Source organism: Homo sapiens, chromosome 6 (assembly GCF_000001405.40).
Source record: "Homo sapiens chromosome 6, GRCh38.p14 Primary Assembly".
NCBI lineage: Eukaryota > Metazoa > Chordata > Mammalia > Primates > Hominidae > Homo > Homo sapiens.
Genome location: NC_000006.12, coordinates 27,078,427 through 27,098,621, shown reverse-complemented (window position 1 = coordinate 27,098,621; position 20,195 = coordinate 27,078,427). Strand labels below are relative to the sequence as shown.

Genomic DNA, 20,195 nt, shown 5'->3' with positions numbered 1-20,195 from the left:
TTGTGTCCCAAGACCATGGTCACCTCCTTGAATACCTATCCTGCGTCAAAGTGTCAGTGGGGTAACTGGGTCCCTCTTGCACTGTTGATTGCAAAGAGAAACAACATAACTGAAATAGAAATCACTAATTACCAAGAGTAACCAGAAGACGTTCAAAGCCTTTGACCGATTTTTGCAATAATCCTTTGACTCATTAATTTTCATAAAACACATTTCGAAAACAGAAGAATTGCTAAATTATGTCAACTCCTGTGACTATAATGCAGCTATTAAGATTATCATGAAGAAGACTTGAAAATAACTTACCTCCAAATTGCATAACTTGTTTTGTTTGTTTTTTGAGAGAGTCTCTTTCTCTTACCCAGGCTGGAGAGCAGTGGCGCCATCTCGGCTCACTGCAACCTCCGCCTCCTGGGTTCAAGCGATTCTCGCGCCTCAGCCTCCCGAGTCGCTGGGATTACAGGCGCCCACCACGCCCTGCTAATTTTTTGTATTTTTTAGTAGAGACGGGGTTTCGCCGAATTGGCCAGCCTGGTGTTGAACTCCTGACCTCAGGTAATCCACCCGCCTCGGCCTCCCAAAGTTCTGGGATTACAGGCTTGAGCCACTGCGCCCGGCTTGCTTGCTTGCTTTTTTTTTTTTTTAACAAAACAAAACAAAACAAAAATCTTGTGGCCATGTCGTCAGTGCTACACGTTTCTTCAATGTTGGTCCCTCGATTTGTCTTGAGAATCTAAGTAATTGAATTTCTGTGTTGGTGTATTTGTCGTGCTGTTTTGTTTTTGTTTTTTTCTGCTTATCTTTTTGATGAATTTATTTTAATGTTCACAGTAGTAATGATTTCTAAAAGAAGCGGCTGGGATAACCACACCTCAAGTTTTTCCCCCTTTTTGGCAGCTTCATCTCTCTCTCTTTCTAGCCCCACCGTCACCTTCCTCTCCTCTCTATTGCCCTCTCCCCTTTCTCAGGCTCGAAGGCGTTTTTGCAGTCATCAGGTAGAAAGCCCACCAGAAGAGTACTCATTAAACTGATCACGCGCACAATATTGACAATCAATACCCCATCAACCATAAAGTTAAAAAACCCAGCAACACCATCGTTATACTGATGATACAAAATTACAAGAGCTCCTTTTTCCTCTCCAACGCCAGGGACCTGAATTCCAGGAGAGTTGAAAGGGAAGTTGGCTGGACTTGGGTGTTGTTTCCTCCTCTTCGTATTAAAAGACCTCCCCCGACGAGGGTGGGATTCGAACCCACGCGTGCAGAGCACAATGGATTAGCAGTCCATCGCCTTAACCACTCGGCCACCTCGTCTTGATAACCCACGTTTCCCGAGTATTTTATTTCAGAGTTTGTAATAGGAACCCACAGGCGGCCTTACAAGACTTAGGAAACGGTTTGAAGACGTTTGGGAGACGTGGAGATGGCTCGTTTTCACATGAATGATCAAGAACTGAGTGGAAACGCTTCGAGGGGGAATAAACGGGCTTAGCTTTCGTGGGACTCACACAAATGTTCAAGACATGATAGAAACGTAATTGCCGGGCCGGTCTCTCCCTTTCTTCCGCTTCCTGGTCCCGAGGCAGGAGGCGCCTGAGCAGGCTGCGGGCGTGACCGGGCCAACGGGGCGCACGGGGTTTGCTGTCGACCTGGGGCGTCAGGTGAGCCTGGTCAGCCCTTCTGTAGGCTCACCGCGTCTCGCTGCGTCGGATAGCGCACCTGGGAGCCAGCAGGAGACCGAGGTTCCCAAAACCGTTCACACCGGAGTCGGTTTCTCTTCAGAAGCCCACGCAAATCAATCACAGGCTAAACAACAGGGAACATAGGGGAAATCCTGCAGGAATGGACCCCTGCTGTATTTTCACACTCTCAATGTCAGGATATTTTACGTTAGATTGCACTAACATCTTGAGTGAATACCACCTTTGCTAGTTTCTGTGAATTCACAAAGAATCATCCGCTTTTTTTTTCCTTGGAAGAGCCCTTATATTGCAGTGTTTGCTGCGTTGACCTGCCTGAAATCTTCAACCTCAACTCAACCCACTTCCTTACCCGTTGTTTTCCATGCTCAGTCCCATTTGGGTTTTTGCCTCAAGACAGATCTAGTTTTCCTCTTCCAACAAGTGATTTTCCCTCATGGAACGCTCTTTCCCTTTCTCACTTTAGCCTGGCTGAATTATTTATCCATACTTTGGTTCTTAAAGCTTTTTAAAATTATTATTAACAAAATTTTTAATCAAAGTTAACCATACATGTTTTAAAAGCTCAATTACTTCAAAAAATATGTGTATGCGAAACAGTGGTCTCTCCTATCTTATTCCTCTTAGTAGAGGCAAACATTTTCAGCCATTTGGCGTTTTGTGTTGTTTTTACCTGCATGTCATCATGCTATGGCAAAGATGGCTAGTTGTCCAATCATTATTTTTGTTTTTTCCAAGAAATGGAAAATTAGCTGAGCTCATAGCCACCCATGAAAAGATTACAGTGACTTCCCTTGACAGTCAGCGTCATCACGTGACCAATTTCTAAGTAAAGGCATAAGAGAGAAAATGTATGTAAAACTTCCAGGTTATGTCCATAAGAGAAGGAAATAACCTCTATTTATCTCTTCCTCATGTATCTGCTTTTGAGAATGAAGGCTTCATGGAATAGTGATTGGACCCAGCACACTGTAGGAAGGAAGGAGCCATGACATAGAAGACTGGAACCAACACCATGAAGCCAAAGCATCACCCTGGCATTGATTACACCCTCAGACAGTCACAGGAGAGATCAGTAATGCTTCTTTTAAGCTATGGTTCTTTTGGGTCTTTGTTACAGAGACAAAATTGTACTCTAATACATATGCTACATATTAATTTTAAGCTTAGTATTTTCCATTGATTTCCCATTACACAAATAGAAGATTCACTTCTCTTCCTCACCGTAAACACCTCCACAGACACTCTTCTGATCAATTTTTCCTTCAAATATAGTTATATCAGAATTTTTATTGAATAAGTAATCACCCTTTATATAATTATGTTTGGCAATATTATTTACCTATCTTTCCTATTTTGTTTCCTGAACATTATTTTTAGAAAAAAATATCACAAATAACCATAAAAGCCTTGCCAAAACAATAAACTGAGTGATTTCTAAACTTGATATGGGGTTTTCATCGTGATGTCTTCCTTCACCATTGTACTATACATTTTATTTCCCTGCCACTGGTGCTGTATGCCCAATTTCTCATGTATTTTCTGTCTTACTATACCTTCACATTTTGGTGGAGTACATTGTAAAGCAGCTTCCTGAGAAAGAGTTCATTGTAGATGAGACTTTTTTTTTTTTTTTTTTTAATTTAAGACGGAGTCTTGCTCTGTTGCTCAGGCTGGAGTGCAGTGGCGCGATCTCGGCTCACTGCAAGCCCCGGCTCCCGGGTTCACGCCATTCTCCTGCCTCAGCCTCCCGAGTAGCTGGGACTACAGGCGCCCGCCACCAGGCCCGGCTAATTTTTTTTGTATTTTTAGTAGAGACGGGGTTTCACCGTGGTCGATGAGACTTTTCAATACTTCTCCAGCAACTTGATTGAATGTTTGTCTGGGAAATATTTTTCAGGCTTTTGAAATTTATTTCAGGATTTTGAGAGAGTTCTCTATTTTCTTCTAGCTTCCAGTATTCATTTTGAGAAGTACAAAGTCATTCTAATTATGGAGTCTACATTTGCAGTTAGCTTTTATTTATCTATTTCAGGATAATTTCCTTGTCCTCAATGTTCTGCAATGTCTGAAAGATATGCTTTAGTGTGTTTCTGTTTCCATTCCTTGTTTTGGGAACTCTATTACATCATTAAATCCTGTATTTCGGTTAGGGATATTAGCTTGTTTTTCGTTGTTGCTAGTTTTCTGATTTCTGTGTTCTCTGCCCTTTTTTTTTTTTTTTTTTTTTTTTTTTTTGAGACAGAGTCTTGTTCTCTTGCCCAGGCTGGAGTGGAGTGGAGCAATCTCAGCTCACTGCAACCTCTGCCTCTTGGGTTCAGGTGATTCTCTGCCTCAGCCTCCCAAGTAGCTGGGACTACAGGCGTGTGCCACCACACTCGGCTAATTTTCTTTTCTTTTCTTTTGTTCCTTTTTCTTTTTCTTTCTTTCTCTCTCTTTCTCTCCCTCCCTCCCTCTCCTCCCTCCCTCCCTTCCTTCCTTCCTTCCTTCCCTTCCTTTACTTGGATTTTAAATCTCCAGTATGTTTCCTCTACCTTTTGTTTTGTTTTTACTGCTCTTTCCTGGTTACATTCTTTTTACTTTTAAAAAATTAATAGACATTTTTAGGCAGTTTTTTATTTACAGAAAAATTGAAGAGAAAGTACAAAGAGTTCCCATATATCTCCTATCCTTCCTATAGCTTCTCTTATTATTAAATCTTATACGATTGTGGTCCATTTGTTACAACTGATGAACCAATATTGATACATTAATATTAACTAAAATTTGTAGTTTACTTTAGGTTCACTTTCTTTGTTGTAACTCTTATGGATTATGTTGTAACTCTTTCCTCTTTGATAAATGTATAATGGCATGTGTCCATCATTACTGTATCATGTATAATAGTATCTCCACTCTAAACATTCCCTGTGCTTCGCCTCTTCATCCTTCCCTCCCTCCCTCCCTCTTAGCAATGACTGCTCTTTTTTGCTGTTTACATATTTTTACCTTTTTCACTACGTTATATAGTTGGAATCATATATACAGTATGTGGCCTTTTCAGATTGGCTTCTTTCACTTAGCAGTATGCTTTTAAGATTCCTCCATGTCTTTTCCTGTCTTGATAGCTCCTTTCTTTTTATCATGAATTAATAGTCCATCCATTGTGCCATAGTTTGCATTAAATATATCCATTCACCTATTGAAGTACATCTTGATTGTTTATGTTTTAGCAAATCCAAATAAAGCTGCTATAAACATTGATGTGAAGGTTTTTGTGTGGATATGGTTTTTCAACTCATTTGAGTATATATCAAGAATCACAATTGCTGGAGTTTCCCCTTATATTTTTACTCCACATTTTGGAGATGCCCTTCAGGTTTTATGTTAATTGTTCTATTAAGTTTTTTCTTTCTACTCTCATAATTTTAATTTCAAGAGACTTCTATAGAGTTATCCTTTTGTACAGCATTCTTTCTCTCCCTTTCTTAAAATAGCTTTTAAAAAATCACTGTTTCTCAGATTGGACACTAACTTCAGTGTCTAATGATGCCTAGTGATCTTTGATTGCTGGTCCATAATTATAATTAAGCCCTAAAAATAACTGGAAACTAAGACCATGAGTCCAATTTATTGACTCTGGGAACCATTTTAGAATGGACTGCCTGTGTCATTTACTATCAGACTTTTACATGTCAAAATGTCCAACTTATCCCTCTTAGGATAGTAAAATTCCTTGTTGAGAAGGGTCATTCAATCTCTTCTGCCTAGATGACATCACACTGACTTTCTGCATTCAGAGAAAATTCTTAATGAACAGAGGTCAGAGGAAGTTCCTTTTGAATTTCAAACTTAATAAGTAACACTATTCCAAGTTATAAAATTAAATTACAAATAAATTATACACATTAATTTACAAATAAATTATACACTTATATTTTATTTATAAAAAGAGACAATATATTACACCCCACCTATGAATAAGGATGTGCATCTTCATACTCAGTGGCCCTTAAAGTTGGTCAGAAAAAGGAAAGGTAAAAAGATCCACACTTTCAGAATACCAAGATGAGCAGAGCGAGCTGAGCCTCTGTGAGGTCCATGAAGCTAGAACGAAATTGGGGTCGGGGAGTGGGTGTCCACTTTCAGTCTTGGCCACAAAAGCAAACAAAACAGTTATTCTGAGGAAATATTTTAATTTAGACAGCATGAGCAAAATAACTGGATTGATATCTTCCTCTCCATTTTTTCCCTGTTTCGAATTCCAGTGTTAATCAATTCTCCTGAGTGTTTTCAACAAAGTACCCGCAAATTTCCAGAGCATGGGATGAGAAAAACTTTGAAATTCCAGCCTTAATGACTGCTCCTCGTGGTCTCTCTCTCCAGTTAGACGAACCTGGGCTAGCAATATTCCCAAGAGTCAATAGTCAGCCCTGGTGCTATATACTTCCATGGGAATTCCATACTTTCTCAAAACGCGTCATCATGGTAAATAATTAATTACTTGTAATATTAAGTTCTGTAGAAATAAAACCATGTTTTTCCGTCACTGCCTCCACAGCTTTCAGCACTGAAGGGTGACATGTCATACTCATTGGCTATGCATCCGTTGAAGAAATAAAGGAATGAACTCTGACCGGGGAAAGCAGGAGAGGCAGGAGTGTGACACCCTAACAGTCGACTGCAGTGGGAGCAGTGGCACCAGCAGCACTTGGGGAGACTTTTACTTTCCAGTGTGGCGGGAGTAGTAAACACTAGGAGTCAGAGAGTAATCACCGAAGCTGGAGTTAAAAGTGTAAATTAAAATCCTCCTTCCTATAAGAGGAAGATAACCGGTTGACTGCAACTCACGTTTCCCCTCCAGCACTCGGTTAAACACGCACACGCACGCGCGCACGAGCTGCCCACGGTCTTCCTTTCGGGGTTTGAGAAGAGACAGACAGAGGTGGGAGAGCGCAGCTGCAGCCGCATCAACATTCCGGTGTCTGCCCTTAGAAGAAGTCCGGATTCAGTACTCGCCTGCTTAGACAATTCTACTGTTGATGTGGTGAAAGTACATATTTTTGGGTATGACTATTTGGGGAAATACTTTAAATATCCTTAAACCTTATTGGGCGAAAATGAAGTGGGCTCGTCCGGGATTTGAACCCGGGACCTCTCACACCCGAAGCGAGAATCATACCCCTAGACCAACGAGCCACTTAGAAATGGCTTTTGCTTATATTTACTGTAGGATTTATTCCCAAATTATTTATTTTTATTCCTCAAAGAATTTGTTACCAAATAATATTTATCACTCCATCAATCATTTACATAAATGAAAGGGTTGGAAAGGCTATTTCTGTGGATGGTCTGCTGGTAGCTTAAATTACCATACTATGGTAAAACTTGTCACCTGTAGAAACATTTCTCCTTTATTCTACTTTGCTATACTACTCTAAGTAATTTAACTCATTTTTTCCATTTTTAGCTTTCAATTAAAATATTTTAGAAAAATTTGAGTTTTCAAGTTTCCTTATCTCACTTCTACCCTTTTTGAAAGTTGGATATTACTGTTACTGAGGGACTTCTAGATGATTTGCTCTAACAAGGAATATTTTCGCTACCAGAAGTTTTTCAGAAAGAATATTCCTAATCTCAGCAAAATTCTACTTATAAGAGATTTCTTAAGGTCAACTTTTCAGGAGTACCAAGATGTATTTGGTTAGTTTACTAACTTCTTCCTACATACAGATTTAAGAAAGTTACAAAAACTTTCGGTTAAATGCAAAGAAAGTTTTTACAACAGATCATTAGCTGATACATCTAAGCCACATTTTACATTCATGTTAAAATTTATGTTTTGAATTAATACATATTTTCAATTTCATTTTGCTGTCCCGAATTTGATACCTTCAAAAATTTAAAAGATCTCATTCAGTTCATTCTTTCAATTATCCAATAATTATTATAGAGTACCTGTTTATTTACTAAAAATGAAACTCTCTTGCAAGGACAAATCAAAATAAGGATTATCTTGAATATGTGTGAAGAGAAATCAATATTTTCTGAAAGGGAGAGTAGATTTAAACTAGTACTTAATTTGAATTTTGACATGGATTTACTGAGCGGATCAAAATAATTATGAGGCTACTAGGCATTCCTCTAACTCCTGCCCACCTTACTAATATTAGAATAGTGAGATTCTTATTGCAATCCGACTGCTTTCTTTGTACTATGAAAACCTAAAAAATCTTGACTAACTCCTCTGAAACACACACCTAGGAGTAGTAATCATTCCTAACTGCCCTAAAACTTAGAAGTGATTATGGTTCAGACTCAACATTCCACTTCCATGAAAATATGTTTTTCTCCTCAAGAAATAGCATCTCATGTTCATGCATAGATGGAGCTGGGACATAGGACTATATTGAGATGTTAAATCAAAGGTTAAATATTTCAGTGTGGAAAATAATTATTTGTCCTGAACCCAACAATTTCCCAGAGAACCTGTTCTTTGACACACAACTTAGAGCACTTCTGTTCATCTTGAAATCAACTGAATAGATTAGTTTACTAATTTCTGAACTCAACACAATGGTAATGGGATCACATACTTTATATACAGACCCACACTCTCAACCCCAAACCCTCGTTCTCTCTTCATTTTTGTAGTATAATATACATTTCCCTTCCCAAATCCAACTTTTCTAAGGATAATAAATAGTTCATTTACTTTTATACCAGTGGGAACTCAGACTCCAGAGAAAGGTCATTATTTAAAGATTACTAAACATCAGCATCATTACACACATCAGGGGACCCACGTAGGACTTATATTCCAGTCATTTTACAGAGATGTTTATTGTCCTTGTCTAGGCCATGTAGATCATGCATAATAACATGCTTAGTTACATTAGCAAATATGAATATATTCATAAACTCAAATTTCTTGGAAAATAGAAAATGTGGCTTAAAGATATAGTTACAGAAGACAACTTAGAACAATGGATATAAAATTTCCCAACAAATGACAAGATTCATTCACCAAATTTCTATATACATATACAAACATACACACATACACATAAACCCACACACATATATACATATATCAAATTACCCAGCAATTTCTCTGTTGGATATATACCCAAAGAAAATAAAATCAGCACCTGGTAGAGGTATCTGCATTTCCATGTTCCTCAGTAGATGAATGGAGAAAAAAATTGTCTGATGTATGTGTGTGTGTGTGCACGCAGAAGCGTGTGCATAAAAATGTGTATATATAATATATATATTATACATCTGGGTGCGGTGGCTCATGCCTGTAATCCCAGCACTTTGGGAGGCCGAGGTGGGCAGATCACTTGAGGTCAGGAATTCAAGACTAGCCTGGCCAATATGGCAAAACCCCGTCTCTACTAAAAACTCCATCTCTCACAAAAATTAGCCAGGCATGGTAGCGCATGCCTGTAAATCCAGCTACTCAGTAGGCTGAGGCAGGAGAATTGCTTGAACTCTAGGGGCGGAGGTCACAGTGAGCCAAGATCGCACCACTGCACTCCAGCCTGGACAACAGAGTAAGATTCCATCTCAAAAAAAAAAAATTAAAAAAATTATAATACATATTATAGTGTGTGTGTGCGTGTGTGTGTGTGTGTGTGTATATATATATATATATAAATGTGGTATAATGTGATATGAATATATATAATGAAATACTATCCAGCCTTAAAAAAGGAGGTACTGCCGTTTGCAACAACATGGATGAAACTGGAGGACATTATGCTAAGCTAAATAAGCCAGGCATAGAAAACAAAATACTACATGATCTTACTTATATATGCAATCTAAAAAACAAAAACAAACAAAAATCTCAAATACACAGAAACAGAGTAGAGAGATAATTATCCGGAGTGGAAGAGTAGAGGAGGAAATGAAGAGATATAGGCCAAAGGGTAAAAAGCTGTAGATATCTGATATGAATAAGTATACAGATCTACTGTACAACATGAGGACAATAGTGATAATATTGTAGTATATGCTGGAAATTCGCTAGGAGTGGATTTTGGATAATTTTAACATAGAGACACAAAGGATAACTGTGAGATAATGAATATGTTAATTTGCTTGACTATAGTAACCATTTCACTATGTATATCAAAAATTATTTTATACATCTTAAACAGATGTAATACAAAGTTTAATTAAAAATAGATATTTATATCAGTATAAGATCTCCTGAAACAGAGTTGCATCCCAAATCGTTATGACTGTGTCTGTTTTATGACTCTGAAGTCTCTATATTCCACTAAAACCAAATACTGAATCCCTCAAAGATATGACACTTTAAAAAATCTCCTCTTGGAAGCCCATCTTTTTAGTCAAGCAGTGTAAACTGCCTCCCAAATCTTTATAGTTTGGGAGGTTCTCTACTTGCTGAAGTTCTCATAAGGTTTCTCTTCAGGTGACATTTCTATTCACCTGAATTTTTATTCAGTTGAGAGAGGACTAAGGAAATGGGCCAGTCCAGGATCTTTATTGTAAGTCTGGCCACAGGCCTCCAACCAATTGACTGACAGTTGGAAGTTGAACAATGTTGCTCAATAGAGAAATTATATTGATAAAGATGGTCATGATGATGATTGTGGTGAGATGATGGTGATGATGGTCATGGTGGTGGGGTGATGAGGATGATGATGATGACAATATGAAAGACAAAAGTAAAGTAAAATGCACACTTTGCAGGAATGTGGCTCACATAATTGTGTTGATTCTTCCAGCTGGATCACCAACACTTGTGTGCCTGTCATGAAGTTTTCATGAGCTAATGAAGTGCTAGAAAATGGAATCATTATGAACATAAATAACAAAGTGATTGGTAACACAGAATTAAAGCACATGTAATTGCAGTGTACAAGAGGCAGATTTTTTTTTTCTTTTTTTTGAGACAGAGTCTCACTCTTTTTGCCCAGGCTGGAGTGCACTGGTGCGATCTGGGCTCAGTGCAACCTCCACCTCCCAGGTTCAAGCGATTCTCCTGCCTCAGCCTCCCGAGTAGCTGGGATTACAGGCATCTGCCACTACATCCTGCTAATGTTTTTGTATTTATAGTAGAGACGGGGTTTCACCATGTTTGGCCAGGCTGGTCTCGAACTCCCGACCTCAGGTCATCCACCCGCCTTGGCCTCCCAAAGTGCTGGGATTACAGGTGTGAGCCACCGCGCCCGGCCCACAAGAGGCAGATTTTAAAGGAAATCATTCTTTTAGGACACTCTCTCTTCAGTGTAGCCTATACAAAATGTCAAGCAACATAGCAAATGTTTGCTAATTGAGTACACAATTATAAGAAACAAAAGTCTTTTGTTTTCTCACACTTAGTATCTACTATGTACTATTTTAAAGGCACCTACCTTTTTACTTCTCACAATAGCCTTAAAACAGATAATGCTGTTATTCTGTATTCCGTTTCAGAGATAAAGACACTGAACCACCAACAGATACAGCATACTGACCAACCAAGGCAGAGCTACAATTAAAAAACCAAGAAGACAACAAGTGGAATTTGCTTTTCTATCCCTTCCTCAAAATCTCCATCAGCTTTTCCGAGGCATTATAAATAAAACTAAAATCTAAGTTAACCAGTGTGATTGATAGGCAGACACAGCTTCAAAGTAAGTTCTCTGGACTCCTCCAATAATATTTTGCCAACTCAAATCTCTCATTTTTGAGGGGAGTGTGTGTGTATGTGTGCGTGTCTTGAAATATTATCATGAAGATATGATAATCAAGGTCAGAAATTCATGCCCTTTGACACATGTATCATGATATAAAAAAATGACAAGTTACACTTTGGCCACTGGATTGACAGGACTTTATTACACCCCATATGTGGCTGGGATAGGGCTGAAGAAAGTTCTTTTTATGAAAGCTGCTATTTTGCTAATTATGAGATCCTCTGAACTTTGCCTCAACAGTGGTATGGAAGTGGGAATGACAGACTCAGGGAGGGTGGTGGGATCACCAAGGTCTTTGGCATGGTTTCAGACCACTGAATGTTGAGCTTATTCAAGGATCACAAGGTCATAACAAGATCTTGCATTTCATCCACATAGCAACATGCACCAAAACTCTTTTGTTCAACAAATCTGGAATGTATATTTTAATAGTATAAAATTGGTAATATGTATATTAAAGGCTGATGTTTTGTGTGTGATCAGAGGATGTCAAAAATCATCTTCAAGAGAACATAAAAGGACTCAGGTAGCAGATCAAAATCCTCTTATCTTTTAGTTAAAAGATACTTTACAGTTTGCATAGCTTGGTCAAGAGTACATCTGCATTTTAAACTGAGAATTTTGTGTTCAAGTCCCTGAGTTAGTGAAAGCAGGCACCCAAATTACAGGCTTGAAATGCTTCCATCACTGAATGAATCATGAATTCTTTGAGACTGGTAATAACTACAACCGGAGAAAACTCTGAGGCAGGCAGTGGTTTCCTTTCATCCTCTCTCTCACTCTGTATTTCTTGTATTTTCTTTTCTTTTCTTTTTTTTTTTTTTTTTTTGAGATGAAGTCTCTCTCTGTCACCCAGGCTGGAGTGGAGTGGCGCGATCTCAGCTCACTGCAGCCTCCACCTCCCAGGTTCAAGCGATTCTCCTGCCTCAGCCTCCCAAGTAGCTGGGATTACAGGCACCCGCCACTATGCCTGACTAATTTTTGTATTTTTAGTAGAGACGGCATTTCACCATGTTGGCCAGATGGTCTTGATCTCCTGACCTCGTGATCTGCCTGCCTTGGCCTCCCAAAGTACTGGGATTACAGGCGTGGGCTACCGCGCCCGACCTTTTCTTGATTTTTTATTTTGCTTATCCTTCAAGAAATAAATGTAGTTTTCCTTTATCTCCAATATACTGTGTTGTATCTTCCAGAAGAGTGTGATAGAAATTGAGAAGTAAAAAGGGAAGAATCCCACCTACCAAATGCACTTTAAGGATATCTTCAGGACTTAAAATACTTGAAAAGAAGAATGGAGTCATACATTAATGAACCTGGCATCACAAACTTGTGTCCCCTACCTTACAAGTTCCAACCTCTTTATTTACATTAATTTCTGGTTTTCAGAGTTTCATATGCCTTTTGCTTTCTGCACTATTTCACCTTTCATGCATTATGATCTTCTTATGTATCCATTTTGAGCAAAAACGGGGAAAATGAATGGTGGTTGGTTATGATGGTTCAATCAGTTTAATCAGTTATTAAATGTTGATTATAGAAGCTGCCATGGACCAGTTAAATATTTCTTGCCAATCTTTCCAAAGCAGCTAATTGCTCCTACTTAAAATTTTCATTCACTTTCAATACAGTACACTTATTTCAATTTCTTGCCCAATACTATTTCCTCTCCTCTGGTTTCCTTTGCTTTCATTTCCTTGTGCTTGATATAATGAGCACTATAATCAGGAATCATTTTTCTCACTTATTTATTACAGCTTGTTTAGTAATCAGATGTTCATTTACTTATACATTTATTCAAAAATTGTTAACTTTTACTTTAGTTTATTTGGTCAAGAAAACTAGACCAAATAAAAACAAGTAAAGAAGACCTCAGTAAGATTGAACATGTGTTCTTTTGAAATGTCTCTTAAGTCTCTTGTTATCTATAAAGTTTTCACTTCATTTTTATTTTATCAAGTATTTTTCCAAATGGCTTGATGAGATCCCTTACTGCCAGAACTATACATTCTATCCAAATATGTATTTTGGTTCCAGTTTAAGAAAAATTGAAACCAAGTTATTCATTTAAATTAATGCAGAACCAGATTATTTTTTAACTCTGATAATAGAGAGACTAGACTGATAACATTGTGGGAGTGCCAAGGCACTAAAAAATGATGTCTAGAAACAAGTCATAAATTGCTATCTAACTTAATTTATTTATATATTGAAGAGAGATACATTTACATGTTTAACAAATCAGAAAACAGAGAAATATATAAAATAAAATTTGATTTACTATGCCTCCATTTACTTAGTTTCTCTTCAATCAGGAATAATTCTTATAGTTTTTTTTTTATTCTTGCAGGAGTTCATGATGTAGATAATTCCAAATTAATTATATTATTATATTGCTTTTTGAATGCTACAGCTTTCACATTGCTTTTGTTTTAATTGAAAAAAAAAAACCTTTGCGTATCATTCCGTGTCAATATATTTTGAACTCATCCACTTCTTCATAAGTACCATAAAATCCCTTTGTATGAATGGATACATATCAATATCTTTAAATAGCCAAAAATAATTCCTTTTGCTAGATATTTTGTTGTATTTTTAAAATAATGTATCATAATGTGTATTTTTCCTACTCCAATTCTTAAATGCGCAAGTATATCTGAAGGATTAGGCCCTAGACATGGAATTCCTGAGTCAAAAGGTGACTGCACCAGTAATTTTGATAGATTTTACCAGATTGTTCTACTGTTTTTTACTCCTGGAAGCCTGGTGGTGAAAGAGCCATCATAAATACACAGAATTTCAGCTGCTTTTTGAAGGGTGGAAGGATAGAGAATAAGATCGCTGAGTCTCTCTAGGATTTCTGTGATCTCTTGCATTAGATCGGAGCTGCTGGTCACCAGGTTTGTTGTATGAGAATTTATCCTTATATGTTTAAGCAATTCTTCTTATTTTAAAAAATACACAGCACAGCAAAACTAGCAAGTTTATTTCAAACTTGCTTACTGAAGAGATCAATAAAACAGACATTTTCTGAAGTCTTACTGAACTTGCCAACATTCAGCCACACATCTATCTCTGTGAATCAGCACAAAAGGGCTGAGAGTTGCATAACCAAGGGTTAAACATTCTTGAATATTTGATATTATGAAATTATTCTCTAAGGATAAAGTTAAATATAAAGAAATAATACAATCTATCCAATAAAAGAAAACAAAACAGATCATCAGAAGGAGAACACTTTGAGCAGCTCTTATCTCAGGGGGAGTTTTGTACAGAAATTTGGAGTTCTGAATGTGAAGAACATGCTTGTGATGCTGGTGGAGAAGAAATACTATGTAGCTGCTGGCCCAGCCCATTAGACCCTGAAACAGGGCATCTTGCAAGACTATCAGTGTGAGAAAAATCCGTCTTATTACCGATCTCCCTGCTAGAAAATAACAGTAGTTATCCTTTTCACTAATTTGTGATCTGTTCATGTTGCTATTTGTGATGGAATGAAGTAAGTTTATGGTTATCAAGGAACTGAATGTCCAAAAAAAAGAGAAACAAGGGAAGGACTTGTCATGCAGACCTCAGCTTGAGCCTCCCCCTCATGCAGGCTCTGGGACTGATGGTGATGGCCTGGACCACAGTGAGGAGACTGCTGGTGCAGATGGAAAGGCCTCGAGCCACCCTCTCCAGATAAGCAACAATTTTACAGCCTGTATCATCTAGGAAGTTTTTCAAACCAAAAGCTGCTATTGTCTTGGGCATTCCTTTGGAAAATAGAAGTATGATATTTGTAAAAGCTAAGTGAATAAGAATAAAGTGTAAAGACTTCTTCTCAGTCCCCCAAAAGAAAATGCACATATAGTTTACCAAAACCAAAACATTCCCCACAATGCCAAGTCCAGTTAGAAACAGGAATATTGTTCCCTTGATAATATTCAAAGCCATTTCTAACTTCATGGGCAGAAAATATTTAGATCAAGGAAACACTGTATGAAGAAAGTACCAGTTATGATGATATATATGTATCTGCAAAAAAATCATATCATAGCACATTTCTAGTGGATAAAGGAAATCATAATATATGTAACAGAGCAGATTTTTGTCCAAAGAACTGTAGTCCTTTCCCTGTGACACTCTTTGATGAACATACCATGTGACCTTAAATGTCATCTTGGAAGAGGATACAAAAATCTAAATTTGGGAAACAGATTTTGTTTTCCTGATCTCCATAGCTGCAAGACCAACTTGCTTGTTCAAATTCTGATATATCCCACATATTTTAAGTCTCAGCATATGCTGAATTGAACTAAAACAATTCCCCCAACCTGAATGTCTCCATTTTCTACTTATTCTTAATATTCCTATCAGCCAATTTCAAAAACCTGGTGCTCACCCTTAACCCCTCTACCTCTTCCACATTCAACAGACAGACACTCATAAAATCATGTTGTTTCAACATCTTTAACATTTCTCAAGTTTAACAATGTTTTATCTTCTGTGATACTTCTTTTATTCATTATGCCTATATGTCTATCATTTTGATTAGTATAACAATTTCTGGTTTATCTCTTCTTATTTTCATATCTTTGATTTATATTCCTTAATATTTCTGAGTTGTCTTTCAAGACCCCGAACTGAATCTGTAATTTCAGTACTTACAAGTTTTCAGTGGGTTTTCCAAGTACTCCATATAAAGTCAAACTGCATAGCATTTCACTGTAGGACCTCAAATGTTAATGGTTAATCAGCCAAAGACCTTCAGGAACAAGCCTGTTGCTGAAAAACAATGAGATACATGGACTGGATGTAGCCAGAGAAGGTGCTCTAGAGGAACCATAGAATGTCACTCTACAAGGGCATTTAGGAGAGGTCTGAGTTCCCACTGATGGATCTGAGGGGCCCCTAAGCGGAGTTGTTGATGTGTTGATGTTTCTCAAGGGCCATTAGGAGAGGTAGATTAATTAGCTATTGCATACTGTCACGAGATGAAGGCAGTTTATAAATTAGAGATCTCTGATGTCTGGATATACAAGGCAGGTTGGGGCTACATTGGTAAGAAAAGAGTCATCACTCAAATGGTGCAATTATGGCAGTTTACAACTGCTGTGTAACCAGTGAGTCCAGTTGACTCTGTAACCAGATCTACCTGTGTCTGTTCTCCCAACATTGGTAACAGGAGAGCTACTTTGATCTTTACCAGTCCAAGCTAATTTTTACTCTTTTTGTCTGAACAGGATTTTACTCTTTCACAATCAACCTCTCCAATCTCACTTCTTTTCCAGAACTTACATCAAACTACAAATAAATCCCCCAAAACAAAAGAAACCAGGATGTTTGATCTAACCTTTCTATAAGCCTTGTCCCCTTTCATTTTCTACTAATCACTAAGAGATGCCTTAGATTTATCTTAATTTGTCTTAAAGGTCCCTGGCAGTGTGAACTGCCTGAATTTAGGCTTGTACTCAGGTCTTATACCAGGAAACTTTATAACTTTTGGAATATTAGTTATTGCTTTTCTGCCTCAGTTTCCTCCAGTGCCAAATGAAGAGACTAACATCTATATCAATGCATTAAACAAAGCATTACATGATCTGAACTGGATAGCCTATAGTGAAATGAACTACAGGCTTTAATAACAAGAAGAGCAGTATGGACTAATAGGTTTGGAGTAAGAACTGGTTACATATTTAGTCAGAAACCTGGAATTTGTCAAAAATGAATGTCCTGCATACACTTCACCACCCTGATGTCCTTATCAAATATTTTTATGTTTGTTTCTTCTTATCTTTTTCTAGGGTTTCACAGTTTTCTGGCCCTCTCTTCATCTTCCCAAGGTTCCAAAGCTCTGATTCAGATTAGAGATTAGCTTCTGTAATACTAATAAGACACTTCCATTTTTTTGACTGAATAATAAGAAAAATATCAGAGGAAGGAAGGGTGACTGGTCTTCCAAGTTGTTTTTGGAATCATGATTGAAAACTATTTGAAAAAACATGCTTCACATTCAGATAGATGTGTAGTGCTCCATCCAGTTCTAATACCTAATAGCTTAGGCAGGTAAGGAAGTGCACCCATTTCAGCTCCAGTTTTCTCAACTGAAAATGAGATTAGTGCTCCCTGCTACATAATGCCAGGGTAAATTTACAGGGTTACATCAGGTTATACTTACTTATAGCCTGGCCAAAAATAAAAGTGGAAAATTTCTGAAGAGCAAGTATGATTTTTAATCATAATGATTGTTAATAGATGCTTCCATTAAACTGGCATATGGTTAATGAAGTTGACTTCTGTATATGATACAATATTATATATTGGATTAGGAGACTTTAAGGATGGATGCAGAAAGAAAACCTTCAAGATATACACACACACTCTCTCTATCTCTTTCTTAATGAATTAACTACTTAATAGGTAAAGACAAAGTTGGCCCACTTGCAAATCACAGAAATGCACCAAAAACGATATGAAGAAATTTGATGAAAGCTAATAATGCTGATAGAGTTATAATGCAGGTGAAAATGTAAGCCTAAAAATGAGTTTTTTCTAGAAACCTGAAAAGCTTTTTTATCTTTGTGATTTTTGGATGAAACCAAAGAGGGAACCTTATAGGAAGAACCACCCCGGACCTCTCTTACAGTACAAGATCCTGAACACTGGGACAAAGATGCTCAAGCATTTCTAGGGTCATCTTCTGGAAATGGTCCCCTTCATGTTTATGACCCCAGGTAAAGATTAGATGCAGAGTCAAGGTCCTCTGGCTCACATAAACTCCCTTGCTTAGTCAAAGAACAAAGCAAGATGCATACTTCTGAGGGAAATATTATATGGCATATGTGAATAAATAAAAGAATTGTCAGGTCTACTCACCTTGGTAGCTATGGTGTAGTAAAGCTCTGGGTTAGTCCTTCTGGCAAGGTAAGGCTCCCCAAGCCATGTTTGTGCCTTCTGGATTTGTAGAGTTCTTGGTTAACAAACTATTACCAGGACTCAAATTTTCAAAGTTGTTTTTCTGTCAGGAAGACGGAAACCCTCTGCAGGATCCTAGTCCCTGAAGTACATTTTCCCCTCTGTCTCCACAATTACGTTTGTTTGCCTCAGGAGTTATTTCAGTCTTAATTGGGGTTTAACTATTGCAATAGAAAGATGTACAGTGAAAAAGTAAACAGCTAGCCAAGTTTCTGTATCCAGGGTTTCCCATTTTTCTGGCCCTCTCTTCATCTTCCCAAGGTTCTAATGTTTTGAATAAAAATGAGAACCAGGTCAGAAGACACATAATAAGTCACTTCTTTTCTTTCTCAAGGCTTTCTTTATACGCAGGGTTATGATAGATGATGACCAGCCCTGGAGACTCTGCTTTCTGAGCTTATCCCAACCACAGGCCTGGACAGGACGAGCGTCACCTTGCTCTACCGATGAACGTTGGCAGTTTGCAGTCTTTGCCATCAGTGATTGTTTTATTCTTTGTCTGTGAAACAACAAATGGGACTGGAAAAGCAAAAGAACCCTCCATTTTTATGAGCTAATCCTGCCTTATAAAGCTTCATAATACTTCTTTAATTCATTATACCCAAGAATGATCCTTCTATAGGTTATTCATTCTGCCCTCAAAAAATGACCTTTCCAGACACTAATGCAAAGGACTATACATAAATGGTGACACAGGGTTGAGATTAGAGGTGAGAATGGAATTATTTTTCTCACTGAGCTGGGCTGTGAGGCAGGCTTCTGGTCACTGGTCTTCATTCAATGTGACAGTATCCTCATCTAGAGGTGCACCTGGTTCATATCAGATGCCAAATTACTTGTGCAATAAGTGAGCAAATAGCCCTTTGAGATAAGTACTCTTTTCATCCCTGATTTTGAATGAGGATATTCAGGCACAGAGAGATTGAGTAAATTGCCCAGTGATACACAGATAATGAATAGCAAAATCAGGATTTGAACCCAGATAATCTAATTCAGGTCATGTGTTCTATTGCCCATTGTTTTGCATGTGTCTTTCTGGGTCAGCCTCTCTTGCGATCTGTTTCACTGTCTAGGAGAGGTGGCTAACCCAGTCTCAGTATCAATCCCATCTTGCACAGACTCTGTCTCCATCTTTTTCTCTGCATCCTGGTTGTGTGTCCTTCAGCCTCTCCTTCTATTTGGAGTAATTGCCACATGGTGGCAGTGTTGTAGGACTTTCTCCTTAGTTCAGCTAAAAACCGGGTTCTTGTCACATAACCAGGAAAGATTAGGCTTGAGGATGCATAGAAGGGTGAGAAAAATGGAATTTATTGCGCGAAAAAGGAAAAAGAAATACTTTCAGCAGAGTGAGAGGGAGGCCTGTTAACCTGCTCCTGCCCCACCACACAGGAACACAAGAGGCTGGGCTCCTCCCCTCTGCAAACCACGCTAACTTCGTGGCTCCACCCCCTTTTCCCAGTGCACAGGTGGGTCGGAGGTTCTCTGGGGAGCCCTTTTTACTCGGCTGTCTCAACAGTTTCGGGGTTTACATGTGAACTTTAATGATTTCTGGCTGGGTTACATTGGATGGGCAATATTTGATGAATTACTTGGCCTCTCCATTGCTATACTTTTTCTTATGTAAAATGACATTGAAAACAAGATGCAAGATGAGCCTAGAGAATCTTGTTGTGTCAAAAAGTAAGAATGAGCTCAAAGAATGGTGAGAATCTGTCAAATAGGGAGCCAGCTTGAAGGGACTCCCTCCAGCCAAATTTGAGAAAATTTGAGAATCAAACTGAATAATGATTTTAAATGATTGTTACCTATTGGATACTACAAGAATCCATTAGTCCACAATTAAA

The 20,195-nt window shown here is 38.0% G+C and overlaps 2 non-coding genes and 1 pseudogene across 2 annotated transcripts, besides 2 other annotated features; all 3 read right to left on the bottom strand.

The window, feature by feature from the left end:
* Window positions 1-1,234: 1,234 nt before the first annotated feature.
* On the bottom strand, window positions 1,235-1,316 carry TRS-GCT1-1 (tRNA-Ser (anticodon GCT) 1-1). Its single transcript has one exon. It is a non-coding gene; the product is annotated as a tRNA-Ser (tRNA).
* Window positions 6,683-6,732: a silencer, noted in NCBI's record as "silent region_17018". NCBI's record gives its function as "represses an Ori minimal core promoter by ATAC-STARR-seq in GM12878 lymphoblastoid cells {active_cell/tissue: GM12878}" and the evidence as "EXISTENCE:reporter gene assay evidence [ECO:0000049][PMID:35858748]".
* TRP-CGG2-1 (tRNA-Pro (anticodon CGG) 2-1) lies at window positions 6,809-6,880 on the bottom strand. The gene has a single exon. It is a non-coding gene; the product is annotated as a tRNA-Pro (tRNA).
* VN1R11P (vomeronasal 1 receptor 11, pseudogene) lies at window positions 14,406-15,330 on the bottom strand (annotated as a pseudogene).
* Window positions 19,787-19,866: a silencer, noted in NCBI's record as "silent region_17017". NCBI's record gives its function as "represses an Ori minimal core promoter by ATAC-STARR-seq in GM12878 lymphoblastoid cells {active_cell/tissue: GM12878}" and the evidence as "EXISTENCE:reporter gene assay evidence [ECO:0000049][PMID:35858748]".